General features: G+C 43.0%; 1 protein-coding gene across 1 annotated transcript in view; it reads right to left on the reverse strand.

The window, feature by feature from the left end:
• Positions 1–8,490: 8,490 nt before the first annotated feature.
• The window catches only part of SNRNP40 (small nuclear ribonucleoprotein U5 subunit 40), a 37,221-nt gene continuing 32,170 nt past the window's right edge, over positions 8,491–13,541 (reverse strand). The window contains exons 9-10 of the mRNA NM_004814.3: positions 10,452–10,555; positions 8,491–9,044 (exon numbers count right to left, since the gene is read on the reverse strand). Of these exons, the coding sequence (NP_004805.2) occupies positions 8,995–9,044; positions 10,452–10,555 (154 nt within the window). The 3' untranslated portion in view covers positions 8,491–8,994. The remainder of the gene's footprint in view (positions 9,045–10,451; positions 10,556–13,541) is intronic.

Below are 13,541 nucleotides of genomic sequence, written 5' to 3' on the forward strand. Positions count from 1 at the left end.
ACATAAAACAAGCACAACAATATTATGAAGCAACATACAAAACCACGTACCTTTTAAATTTCATTTATTTACTATTATTATTATTATTATTTTTTGAGATGGAGTCTCGCTCTGTCACCCAGGCTGGAGTGCAGTGGCGCGATCTCTGCTCACCGCAAGCTCCGCCTCCTGGGTGCACACCATTCTCCTGCTTCAGCCTCCCGAGTAGCTGGGACTACAGGTGCCTGCCACCATGCCTGGCTCAATTTTTGTATTTTTTAGTAGAGACGGGGTTTCATCGTATTAGCCAGGATGGTCTCGATTTCCTGACCTCGTGATCCGCCCGCCTCGGCCTCCCAAAGTGCTGGGATTACAGGCGTGAGCCACCGCACCCGGCCTATTTATTTATTTTTTGAGACAGAGTCTCACTCTCTCGCCCACCAGAGTGCAGTGGCATGATCTTGGCTCACCGCAACCTCCGCCTTCCAGGCTCAAGCGATTCTCCTGCCTCAGTCTCCAGAGTAGCTGGGATTACAGGTGCATGCCACCACGCCTGTCTAATTTTTGTATTTTTAGTAGAGACGGGGTTTCACCATGTTGGCCAGGCTGGTCACGAACTCCTGACCTCAAATGATCCACCTGCCTTGGCCTCCCAAAGTGCTAAGATTACAGGCGTGAGCCACCGCGCCTGGTCCACATACTTTTAAATAGTCAATTTCACTGGGAAAAAAGGTCAGGGGACTGTTCCAGATTGAGACACTAGAAAGAATAGCCAAAATATAAAACTTGATAGATCTTTGATTGAAAAATAGCTATAAGACATTTTTGGTGCTGGTATGATCATTAGATGGTATTAGGAAATTGTTTTTAATCTTCTGAGGTATGGTAATAGAGAACATTCCTAGGAGATGCTTACTGGAATATATATATATATATATACACACTATATATATAACATATATATATATATACACACTATATATATAACATATATATACACAATATATATATAACATATATATACACAATATATATATAACATATATACACAATATATATAACATATATACACAATATATATATAACATATATACACAATATATATAACATATATATAATATATTATATATATTAATTTAAGAATATTTGGGAGTAAAGAATTATGATGTTTGAGCTCAGTGTGGTGGTGTTCACCTGTAGCCTCAGGTACTAAGGAGGTTGAGATGGGAGACTTGCTTGATCCCAAGAGTTCAAGTCCAGTCTGGGCAACAAAGCAAGACCCTATCTTAAAAAAAAAAGAAAATTAGGGTCGGGCGCAGTGGCTTTCACCTGTAATCCCAGCACTTTGGGAGGCTGAGGTGGGTGGATCACAATATCAGGAGATCAAGACCATCCTGGCCAACATGGTGAAACCCCATCTCTACTAAAATACAAAAAATCACCTGGGCGTGGTGGCACGTGCCTGTAGTCCCATCTACTCGGGAGGCTGAGGCGGGGGAATCGCTTGAACATGGGAGGCGGAGGTTGCAATGAGCCAAGATTGTACCACTGCACTCCAGCCTGGGCAACAAGAGTGAAACTCCGTCTCAAAAAAAAAAAAAAAAAAAAGAAAAGAAAAGAAAAGAAAATTATTATGGAGTACGTCTGCATCTTACTTTCAATGGCCAGTGAAAGTCAAATATGTATGTGTGTACATACATGTGTGTGACAGTGAAAAGATTTTGAATTATTGAATCTAGGTGGCATACAGATGTTCAGTACATTAGTCTCTCAATTTTTATATTTGAAATTTTTTTTTTTTGAGAAGGAGTCTCGCTCTGTCACACAGGCTAGAGTACAGTGGCACAATCTCAGCTCACTGCAAGCTCCGCCTGCTGGGTTCACGCCATTCTCCTGCCTCAGCCTCCCGAGTAGCTGGGACTACAGGTGCCCGCCACCGCGCCCGGCTAATTTTTGTATTTTTAGTAGAGACAGGGTTTCACCGTAGTCTCGATCTCCTGACCTTGTGATCTGCCTGCCTCAGCCTCCCAAAGTGCTGGGATTACAGGCGTGAGCCACTGCGCCTGGCCTGTATTTGAAAATTTTTAAGTAAAAAGTTGGAGGATCAGAGATTCAAGGTAAAATTTCTTTTTAAAAAGATTAAAAATTACAAATAATTTTTTTTGAGACTATCTCGTTCTATCATCCAGGCTGGAGTGTAGTAGCGCAAACACGGGTCACTGCAACCTCAACCTCCTGGGCTCAGGTGATTCTCCCACCTCAGCTCCCAAGCAGCTGGGGCTACAGGTGCATGCCACCACGTTCAGCTAATTTTTTTAAATTTTTTTGTAGAGATGGGGGTCTTGCTTTGTTGCCCAGGCTGGTCTTGAACTCCTCGGCTCAAGTGATCCTCCCACTTTGGCCTTGCAAAGTGCTAAGATTACAGGTGTGAGCCACTGGGGCCTGGCCAAGGACAACTTTTTTTTTGTCTTTTTTTTTTTTAAGACAGAGTTTCGCTCTTGTTGCCCAGGCTGGAGTGCAATGGCGCGATCTCGGCTCACTGCAACCTTTGCCTCCCGGTTCAAGCAACTCTCCTGCCTCAGCCTCTCGAGTAGCGGGATTACAGGCATCTGCCACCATGCCTGGCTAATTCTGTATTTTTAGTAGAGATGGGGTTTCTCCATGTTGGTCAGGGTGGTCTCAAACTCCCGACCTCAGGTGATCCGCCCGCCTCAGCCTCCCAAAGTGCGGGGATTACAGGGGTGAACCACCATGCCTGGCCAAGGACAACTATTAATAAGTAAACAGGACAAGGCTCTAGCACTCTCCTAGGAAAGATTAAAACTTTCCGAGCCTGTAGAACAGTGGTTCTCAAACTTGCACCAGAATCTCCCAGATGGCTTGCTAAAACACAGACTACTGAACACTTTACTCCCCCAAAATTTCTTGAAGGAGAAGTTAACTTGGCTTTATGCTGCCCTCCTGACTATAGTTCTAGCCATGGCCAGCACCAGTGTTCTCAGCCTTGACTGCACACTGGAATCACCTCAGGAGGCTTTAAAATCTGATGTCCACCTCAGAGATTCTGATTTATTTTATTTATTTATTTTAATTAACTTTTTTTTTGAGACGGAGTCTGGCTCTGTCGCCCAGGCTGGAGTGCAGTGGCACGATCTTGGCTCACTGCAAGCCCCACTCCCAGGTTCATGCCATTCTCCTGCCTCAGCCTCCCGAGTAGCTGGGACTACAGGCGCCTGCCACCGCGCCTGGCTAATTTTTTTGTATTTTTAGTAGAGACAGGGTTTCACCGTGTTAGCCAGGATAGTTTTTTGTTTTTTTTTTTTGAGACAGAGTCTTGCTGTGTCACCCAGGCTGGAGTGCAGTGGCGCAATCTCGGCTCACTGCAAGCTCCGCCTCCCAGATTCATGCCATTCTCCTGCCTCAGCCTCCCGAGTAGCTGGGACTACAGGCACCCGCCACCACACCCGGCTAATTTTTTGTATTTTTTAATAGAGACGGGGTTTCACCGTGTTAGCCAGGATGGTCTCTATCTCCTGACCTCGTGATCCGCCCGCCTCAGCCTCCCAAAGTGCTGGGATTACAGGCGTGAGCCACCGCGCCCGGCCAGAGATTCTGATTTAATTGGCAGGCCTTGGTGGGGCACTAGAAACTGTACTTCCAGGAAGTTCTCAAGTTGTGGATGCTGTTGATCCAGGACCCCACTTTGAGAATCACTGCTCTAGAGCAGGATTTCTCAAAAGCATCACTCATGACATCCTAAAGCAGTTAATTCTTTGAGCATCTCTGGCCTCTACCCACTTATATGTCTGTAGCACCCCTCTAGATAGCTCCAGACATTGTCAAATTGTTCCCTGGGAGGCAAAATTGCCTAAGATTGAGAAGCACTGCTCTAGAAGATCTAAGTTAAAAAAGAATGCAAGAGTCTAGGTGGGTTGCAGTGTCAATTGAAGAAAAGAAGTTGAAGCCTAGAAGAAAGAGTTTGGAACATCCCCGGGCTTGATGCAGAGGATGGCCATCCATGCAGGCTTCTTTCAGAGGAGCATCATTATGTGTCTGGGGTTCACAGACAATTGATCAAAGGGCAGGCTAAGAGGCTAAGAGCTCAGACCTGGCATCATTTGGTTCCACAGGAACAGGGCTGTCCATTTTAAGTCAGGCTCCTCCCTCTTCCTGGGACATCAGCTGTCAAGCCCCAAAGACTCTTGGAAAAAGCAATCCTGTCCTAACCCAAATGGCCTGACAACCTTTCTTTAAGGCTCAACTGCCTACGGCTCCAAATTGCTCAGAGCTCTCTTTTACCTCAGTTTCCCATTCTTCTACTTTGAGATGTTAGTAAGCGGCAGACTCTAGTCTATTAGTAAGAAGCAAATAGTTTTGTTGTGAAGAAGCAACTCTGATAAGCCTTTACCTGTTCTTTCTAGCTTATTAGATCCAATCCCTGAAAAAGATTGTTCTTGTCTTTGAAACCAGCAACTCTGCCTATTACCTATTTACTTGAAATAGAAGACAACGTCTGGAGGCTTGGATCTGCTTCCCTACAGGACTCATCCTTGCATAACTTCACTAGGCCCATGAAGGTCTTCAGGGATTAGCTTCTCTAACCTGAAAAGGGATCGACCATCCCTGAACAACCAGGGGAAGTAGGTGAGGGAAGACAGTACCAATTTTTGTTCTGATGGGCTGGCCTGTAAATAAACTGTTTAGGGGGTTGGGACTGAACGGGATTAGGGCTACTGACTAGGAGAAAAGGTAGTTATTATATCAGGGAGGCCAAAAAAAAAAAAAAGGAAAAATAACCTGAAAATCTGCCTCCCTAAAAATTCAACCCACAAAACTCAGCCACGCAGCAAAAAAGAAATTTGGCTCTTTAAGTGCCAACAGTATTAAGTGCTAGAGATTGTGGAAGTCATAAAGGGAAATTAACTGAAAATCAGGGATGCCATTACTCATTCGGGAGCAATCTCTCTCTCCCAAAGTGAGAATACAATCTGCACCCTCTGGGGATCTTTTATACGCAAATCTTTATTCCCCAGGCTGGGGCTTCTATTTTCTTCAAATTCTAAATGGTGCTGCTATTTCCTGCTAATGGCTTCTACCCAGCCTCTTGAAGAAGGCACCTGAGGGGGGACTGAAGAAGCTGAGGTTAGAGGAAAGCCCTCACAGTCTCCAGGGTCTTGGCTCTTCCCAATCACTGCCAACTTCTCAAGGGATTGGTAGGCTTTTAAAAGGGCAGTGTCAAGGTTGAAGCCCTGTTGTATTCCAACCCAAGAAAAGATGAGGGTGGGTGGAAGGGACTGGACCGGTTTTCAAGTACAGGTTGAATATCCCTTATCCAAAATACTTGAGACCATAAGTGTTATAGATTTTGGATTTTACTATTTTTTTTTGAGACAGGATCTCACTCTCACCCAGGCTGGAGTGCAATGGCAGGATCTTGGGTCACTGCAGCCTCCACCCACTGTGCTCAAGCAATCTTTCCACCTCAGCCTCCCAGGTAGCTGAGACTATAGGTGCATGCCACCACACCTGGATAATTTTTGTATTTTTTGTAAAGACAGGGTTTTGCCATGTTGTCCAGGCTGATCTCAAGCAATCCTGGGCTCAAGCAATCTTCTCGCCTTGGCGTCCCAAAGTGCTGGGATTACAGGCATGACTCATTGCACCCAATTTCTGAATACTTGCATATATATAATGAGATATCTTGGGACCCAAGTCTAAACACAAAATTCATTTGTTTCATATACACATAGCCTGATAATTTTGTAAAATATTTTAAATAGTTTGTGCATGAAACCAAGTTATTTTTTTTTTGGAGATGGGGTCTCATTCTGTCACCCATGCTGGAGTGCAGTGGCATGGTCATAGCTCACTGCAGCCTTGATCCCCTGGGGTCAAGCGATTCTCACCTCAATCTTCCAAGTAGCTGGGACCACAGGTGTGTGCCACCACATCTGGCTAACTTTTAAATTATTTGTAGAGATGAGGTCTTGCTATATTGCCCAGGCTGGTCTCAAACTCCTGGGCTCAAGTGAACCTCCCACCTCAACCTTCCAAAGTGTTGGGATTATAGGTGTGAGCCAGTGTCCAGCTGAAACAAAGTTTTGACTGCGACCTGTCACATGAGATTAAGTGTGGGATCTTCCACTTGTGGCATCATATGGGCCCTCAAAGTTTAAATTCTGGAGCATTTAGGATTTTGGATTAGGGATGCTGATATAGTTTGGATAGTTGTTCCCTCCAAATCTCATGCTGAAATTTGATGCCCGATGTTGGAGGCAGGGCCTAGGTGGAGGTATTTGGGTCAAGGGGGTGTATTCCTCATGAATGGCTTGATGCCCTCCTTGTGGTAGAGTTTTCATGGGTTATTTATAAGTGCATGGCACATCTCCTCCTCTCTTGCTCCTTCTCTTGCCATGTGATACATCTGCTCCCCCTCTGCCTTCCACTATGACTGGAAACTTCCTGAGGTCCTCACCAGAAACAGATGCTAGTGCCACCCTTTTTGTACAGCCTGCAGAACTGTGAGCTCAATAAACTTCTAAGTTACTCAGCCTCAGATGTTTCTTTGTAGCAATGCAAAATGGACCAAGACAGATGTTCTACCTGTATGTGGACCTGGTGCTTAAAAAGGATTATTAGGGAGTGTTCAGTGATACTGCTGGAGGTGTGAAAAGCAGCTTGCATACTACCTTTGTCCAAATTTCTCCTGGTTAAAGGCATAACCATATATATATATTGCTCAGACCAGAAATCTGAAAGTCACTATTCCCTTTGGAGATTCTACCATACTATGTATATTAAAGGCTCTAAACAGTCCTGCAGTAAATAAACTGGCTTCACTTTATTTAACCTGGTCTTGAGCATGGGATCTTTATGCCCCAAAATATCTAACAAACTATCTGAAAAACAGTGTTCTGTGCAATGCACTTTGGGAAACCTCAACCTATGGATCACGTACATGAAGTACAAGCTTTCTCAGATTTGGCTTTCAGTTCTGTAACTTTACTGTTTGCTGCTCCCCAACTCTAATCATCCTCAAGTTCTTCTGGTTTATAAAATGTGCCACACTTTCAAGCTTGTGCCTGCTGTTTCCTGAAAGGCACATGTTCTTTGTCCACCTGGCAAGCCCTACTCATCCTCCAAGTCCCAATCTAAGCATAATCACATCATCTGTGAAACTTCCTAAATGCTCCAAGGCAAAATAAATTGTTTACTCCTGTGTTTCCAGTGCACTTTATTCAAACGTTATTCACTGTATTAAAAGTAATTGGTTTGAAAGCTTTACCATCCTGCTGGTTCCTTCATTGATGAGTTGTATAAATCTTTGGCATATGCTCACTTAAAAAAGTAATGAATTTGAGACGGTTTTTTCTACTGGTGTGTGCACTTCTCAAGATGGCAAGGACAGTACCTTATTTATCTCTGTCTTCAGCAACAATGGTCATGCCTGCCACGTAATAGGGGTTGATGTGTTTGTTGAATGATGATGCCCCAAACCCAGGGTAGATATCCTCTCTCTAACTTAAGATAAATAGATGATTCAGGTTTGTGAGCCAAAAGTATACAACCAAACATGCTCAGAACAGGTTAGAACTGTGAAGATCTCTTTGTTCTGAGATAAGAGATTCAGAAAAAACACATTCTACTCCCCAGTGCCAGATGAGATTCACTAGTGTCTATCTGTGTGCTGGGTGTTGTCACCCAGTGATCCAGGGAGACAGTAACCTGTCTTAGTGGTAGGAGGAAAGTAATAGCATTTCTTAATGTCCCTGTCTGTTTATGCAAAGCCAGACAAGTAAACAGAATCATAAAGATGTCTCAGATAATGTCACGGTTAAGTTGCACCCAAACATTCTCACATTCCATTTGAGTTGAGTTTGATGCAGCATTCTGGGCAATGTCATTTCTACCAGCTAAGACTGCCCCAAATCTGCCCACTTTCAGGAGCCTGAGAATAGAGAATGCTGCTCAGAAAAGTTCTTTTGGCAGGAGGCAGAGTAAATACGGGCTCTGTTCATTAAAGATCAGATGCAAGTACACAAAACCAGGTTCTTTTTTTTTTTTTTTTTTGAGACAGAGTCTTGCTCTGTCGCCCAGGCTGGAGTACAGTGGCGCAATCTCAGCTCACTGCAACCTCCGCCTCCCAGGTTCAAGTGAGTCTCTTGCCTCAGCCTCCCGAGTAGCTGGGATTACAGATGTGCATCACCACACCCAGCTAATTTTTGTGTTTTTAGTAGAGACGGGGTTTCATCATGTTGGCCAGGCTGGTCTTGAACTCCCGACCTCAGGTGATCCGCCTGCCTTGGCCTCCCAAAGTGCTGGGATTACAGGCATGAGCCACCGCGTCTGGCAAAACCAGGTTCTTTTAGAACTTATTTATCACCTCCTGGCTGCTATCCTTCTAGTAGGAAAAAAGTATTGTTACTGATAATTATTCTTTGTCATTTTCATGGAAGTAAGTAAACCTAAAAACACAGAAAAGGGGGGAAAAAAAAACAAGTGAGCAGCTTCTTGGAAGTTTAAATGAATTGTATTCTGTGGCCACATCATGCTCTATTCTGATTTATAGCAATCAAGCCTCAAAAAAAAGACAGCAATAAATCCAATCCACATGGCTCTTGTAAAAAGGCATCTATTTGGCTTTTAATACAAAATGATATAGAGAAATACAGAAAGAAAATATCATACAAGCCAGTTACAAAAAAAAAAAAAAAATCCCAACCAACAAATTTGTCACATTGGGCCTGCATTAGAAAACAGGAAAAAAGAAAAAGAAAAAAAAAAACAGTCCCTGAAATCTGGCAGGTGGTTTTTAGAGGCCACAGGGAGCTTGCCTTAGTCATCCTGGTGAAATGGGACAGAAGTGGTTTTTGGAATATGGCCACCGCCTCCTGTTTCTTGCTAGCAATGGTCATCTGAAGGGAGGGTGCTAGCCTGGACATCCAACATTTGGCATCACTTATGCAGTCTGAGGTCTCAAAGACAAGCGGCCTTGGAGTCTTCCAGTCCATATCTTCACTGAATCTCTCCCATATACAGTCTCTTGTCACTCGATGCTGAGATAACTGAGGTAAAAAGAACAGATAACTAGAAATAATGAAGGCTCAAGGAGACTTGGTGCTCAAGGGCTCTTGTGTCAAGAGCCAATTCTGGTATAAAAGAGCAATTGGACTTAGCTTAAATTCCCCTCCTAAACACCATCCACAGGAAATTGTAGCCTGGCTTTTCAATCCAAGTCCTCTAATATCATGAGGATGACTGTACTATGGGAAATACATTATCAGACACTAAATACTGACATCCCTTGTCAGTCAAACCCCAAGAAAAAGACTTTCCCAGTCATTCTAGAAGAGAGGAATCTATGGCTGTGCCAGTCATTTTGTAAATGTGCTTCTGCTTGTTATACTTAGCCCTGGAGAAAGTTACAGTTTCTCCTTTAATTCAAGGCTGAAATTATTTGGTTTAGCCAGCCAAAAAATTTTAAGCTGAAATTTATATCTAAATATTAAAAAGTATCATTCTTGGCCGGGCGCAGTGGCTCACATCTGTAATCCCAGCACTTTGGGAAGCTGAGGCGGGTGGATTACCAGAGGTCAGGAGTTTGAGACCAGCCTGGCCAACATGGTGAAACCTCGTCTCTACTAAAAACACAAAAATTAGGCAGGTGTGGTGGTGGGTGCCTGTAGTCCCAGCTACTTGGGAGGCTGAGGCAGGAGAATCGCTTGAACCTGGGAAGGCAGAGGTTGCAGTGAGCCGAGATCGTGCCACTGCACTCCAGCCTGGGCGACAAGAGTGAGACTCTGTCTCAAAAAAAAAAAAAAAAAGTATCTTTCTTTTAATCAAATACATCATTGAAACAGACTTGATGGAAGTAAATTTAAAAAAAAATTAGACTTACCAACTTCCCTTTGAGATCAAGAAGAAAATGGAGCATTGCTCTTACTCTCACCACTTATGAGCAATGGTGAGACTGACATTGATACCCACATAAAGACTGTTTGCAGCTGGGCACAGTGGCTCACACCTGTAATCCCAGCACTTTGGGAGGCTGAGGCGGGTGGATTACTGGACGTCAGGAGTTCGTGACCACCCTGACCAATGCGGTGAAACCCCGTCTCTACTAAAAATACAAAAAAAAAAAAAAATTAGCTGGGCATGGTGGTGGGTGCCTGTAATCCCAGCTGCTTGGGAGGCTGAGGCAGGAGAACTGCTTGAACCCAGGAGGCAGAGGTTGCAGTGAGCCAAGATTGCACCATTGCTCCAACCTGGGCAAAACAGCGAGACACTGTCTCAAAAACAAAACAAAACAAAACCCAACAACAAAAAAACCAACAACAACAACAACAAAAACACCCAAAGGCTGTTTGCATGGAAATTCGTATAAAACAGATACCCGCTTTTGACTCTCTATTCCCAGGATCCCTACGGGGAGATTTCCAGTTTCCCTTTCCCCCTCGTTGGGACAGACTTACTGATGGGCTCATCAGGGTGGAAAGCCACTTCATTGATGGAGCCAGCATGGCCGGGCAGCTTATACAATATTCTCCTGCTTGTGGTATCCCACACATAAACAAACCTGTAAGGTATCATGAAAAGCAAGGGTAAGTCCTCTTAGAGCTGGGGGTAGGACAGAGGCATGGCTTTTTAAAGGAAATGGAAGCAACAATTATTTACTTACCTTACATTTACTGAACCATGTTCTGGCTTTTAGAAACTAGGAACACAGAGTTTGAATAAGACATGGACTCACCTCTTGAGCAATGGGGTGGAGAAATAAGAATAACTAAAAATATAAGCATGACTGGCATGTTTGAATACAAGCTTCTGAAATGGGAAACACCACAGGGAAGAAAAGAAAGTTTTTCCTGCAGACATCACACAAAAACCTTTTTCAGAGTGTCTAGTATAATTAGGCTACAGTTAACTTCATACTCATCCAGGAAATCTAAAAGGTAACCCAACTCATGGCAGGGTGGGAGCCTAGGCTGCTGATCCAGATGAACTTTTTAGTACTGTATTCAAACAGAGACCTGAGAAGGGACAGGAAGTGTCTGGTATATAAAATATTTATAGTGTTTGCTAACCTAATACTCACTTGAGCCAACTTTTCCATTGAATTAACAGGCAGAAGGAATACTGAATTCTAGAATGGGAAGGGGCCAAGAGAAATCAGCTTGTCTAGGCTGGGAGTGGTGGCTCATGCCTGTACTCCCAACACTTTGGGAGGCCGAGGTGCGTGGATCGTCTTAGGTCTGGAGTTTGAGACCAGCCTGGCCAACAAGGTGAAACCCAGTCTCTACTAAAAATACAAAAAATTAGCCAGGAGTGGTAGCGTGTGCCTGTAATCCCAACTACTCGGGAGGCTGAGGCAGGAGAATTGCCTGAACCTGGGAGGTGGAGGTTGCAGTGAGCTGAGACCGTGGCACTGCCCTCTAGCCTGGGTGACAGAGTGAGACTCCATCTCCAAAAAAAAAAAAAAAAAAAAAAAGAGGAGAAAAAAGAAATCAGCTTCTCTAAACTCCTTATTTTAGAGATAAGAAAACTGGGGCACAGTGACGTTTCCAAGGCAATACAGTTCATCAACGGCGTAACTAAAATTAGAACTCTTCAAAAAAAAAGAGCTTATTAGAGAATGTTCTTAGGAAGACAAAATTTTTATTTGTCATTAAAAAAAATTATGAGGCTGGGCATGGTGGCTCACATCTGTAATCCTAGCACTTTGGGGGGCCAAGGCTTGAGCTCAGGAGCTTGAGACCAGCTTGGACAACATGGTAAAACCCCATCTCTACAAAAAAATTAGCCAGGTGTAGTGGTGCATGCCTGTGGTCCCAGCTACTTGGGAGGCCAAGGTGGGAGGACTGATTGAGTCCAGCACGTAGAGGCTGCAGTGAGCTGAGATGGCACCACTGCACCCCAGCCTGGGTGACAGAGTGAGATCCTGTCTCAAGAAAAAAAAAATTATGTTTTTTTTCATGCTGTATAATAAAGGTAATGTAAGAGGCTATAGAGTTTTAAGCTTCTTTCTACTGAAATACTCTGAATACTACTGAAATACTACTGAAATACTGAAATAACACAATGTACTTTCTGCAATGCTAGAATAAATAAAAAAAAACTTCTACATTTCTCTTCAAAAGTGATGAATAATAACAGAAGATGTCATAAAAATGTGATTTTTTCCTTATTCATTCTATAGTATTAGAGCCAGTATTTTTATCATCACAGGCCATAATTTTCACAAAAGTCTACATATTATCACAGAATCTTTTTGTTTTTCTCAATTAATTTTTTTTTTTTTTTTTTGTAGAGACAGTGTCTTCCTATGTTGTTAAGGCTGGTCTTGAACTCCTCGCGTCAAGCAATCCTCCTGCCTTCACCTCCCAAAGTGCTGGGATGACGGGCATGAGCCACCATGCGTGGCATATGGCACAATCTGTATGTATTTAGAGAGCCCCTGAAATCAACTCTGTTCCTAATCCTCTGAGCCAATGATGACTTTATAGCCTTATCAAACTGAAGTAAAACTTGAAGGGCAAGTTGAGTGAACTGCTGAGATTTTATGAGCTCATCTAGGCTCTCCTGAAGACTGTGTCCCAAAGTAGTACTTCTGTATAACTGATATGATATGGCTTAGGAAGAAGAAATTGTTTTTCTTATTCAAGCTTGCCTTGATGTCCTGTGCTGAAGGTTTCCTGCCATGGAGCAGACAGAAGTGACCAGGAGCCCAGCAGGGGGTTCCTATGTTCCTGACCACCTCTTCAGTAGCCACAGAAACTACAGAGCTGAACCCAAGACTCTGGAGCTCTTAATATACTCTCGTATTTTACTTTCACTTACCCTCCATAAATGTACTGGCTAAAAAAAAAAAAAAAAAAAAAAGTTCCTTTGACCCTCAATCTTGCTTAAGTCATTAAAGGGTAAAGTATAGAGCTATTATCTTAATCTGATGATGTAAAATTCATCTGTTGGTAAATATAAAGGGCTGGTAGTTTTGAAGCAGGTATTTAAAATTATTTACATATTTTGTTTTGTGCAATCAACAACTCACCAGTACTTGATCATAAAAATGGTACATTCACCAGTACTGGATTATAAAATGCCTAGTTCTAATCCAACTTACACTTTTGGTCAAAAATGCAAATAAACAAGAGCTTCTTAATTATACTATTTAGCTGTCATCAGCTAGGCTCCATAGAAAGTAAGTTCTGAACAAGATGGAAGAGAAGCAGGAACTCCATCTGTCTAGACTCCATGGCTCTGATACTCATGCCCTTCCTACTGTCTTCTTTCTTGTCATGCACAAAAAGCTGGTCCTCATTAATTCAATAAAGGGCAGTATGGCATAGTGAAAGAGTATGAGCTCTGGAGTCAGAAAGACTGGGGTTCAAGTCTCAGTGCAGCTATTTACTAGCTAAGTAAGCTTAGCTCAGAGAAGTTAAATAATTGCAGATCATTTAACTTCTCTAAGCTTCTTAGTTACAATGATGGAGAAAATATTGATCTCATAACTTTGTTGAGAAAAATAATGAGGTAATATATGCAAAGTGCCTGGCACACAGAAT

The sequence above is a fragment of the Homo sapiens genome, chromosome 1 (assembly GCF_000001405.40).
Source record: "Homo sapiens chromosome 1, GRCh38.p14 Primary Assembly".
NCBI lineage: Eukaryota > Metazoa > Chordata > Mammalia > Primates > Hominidae > Homo > Homo sapiens.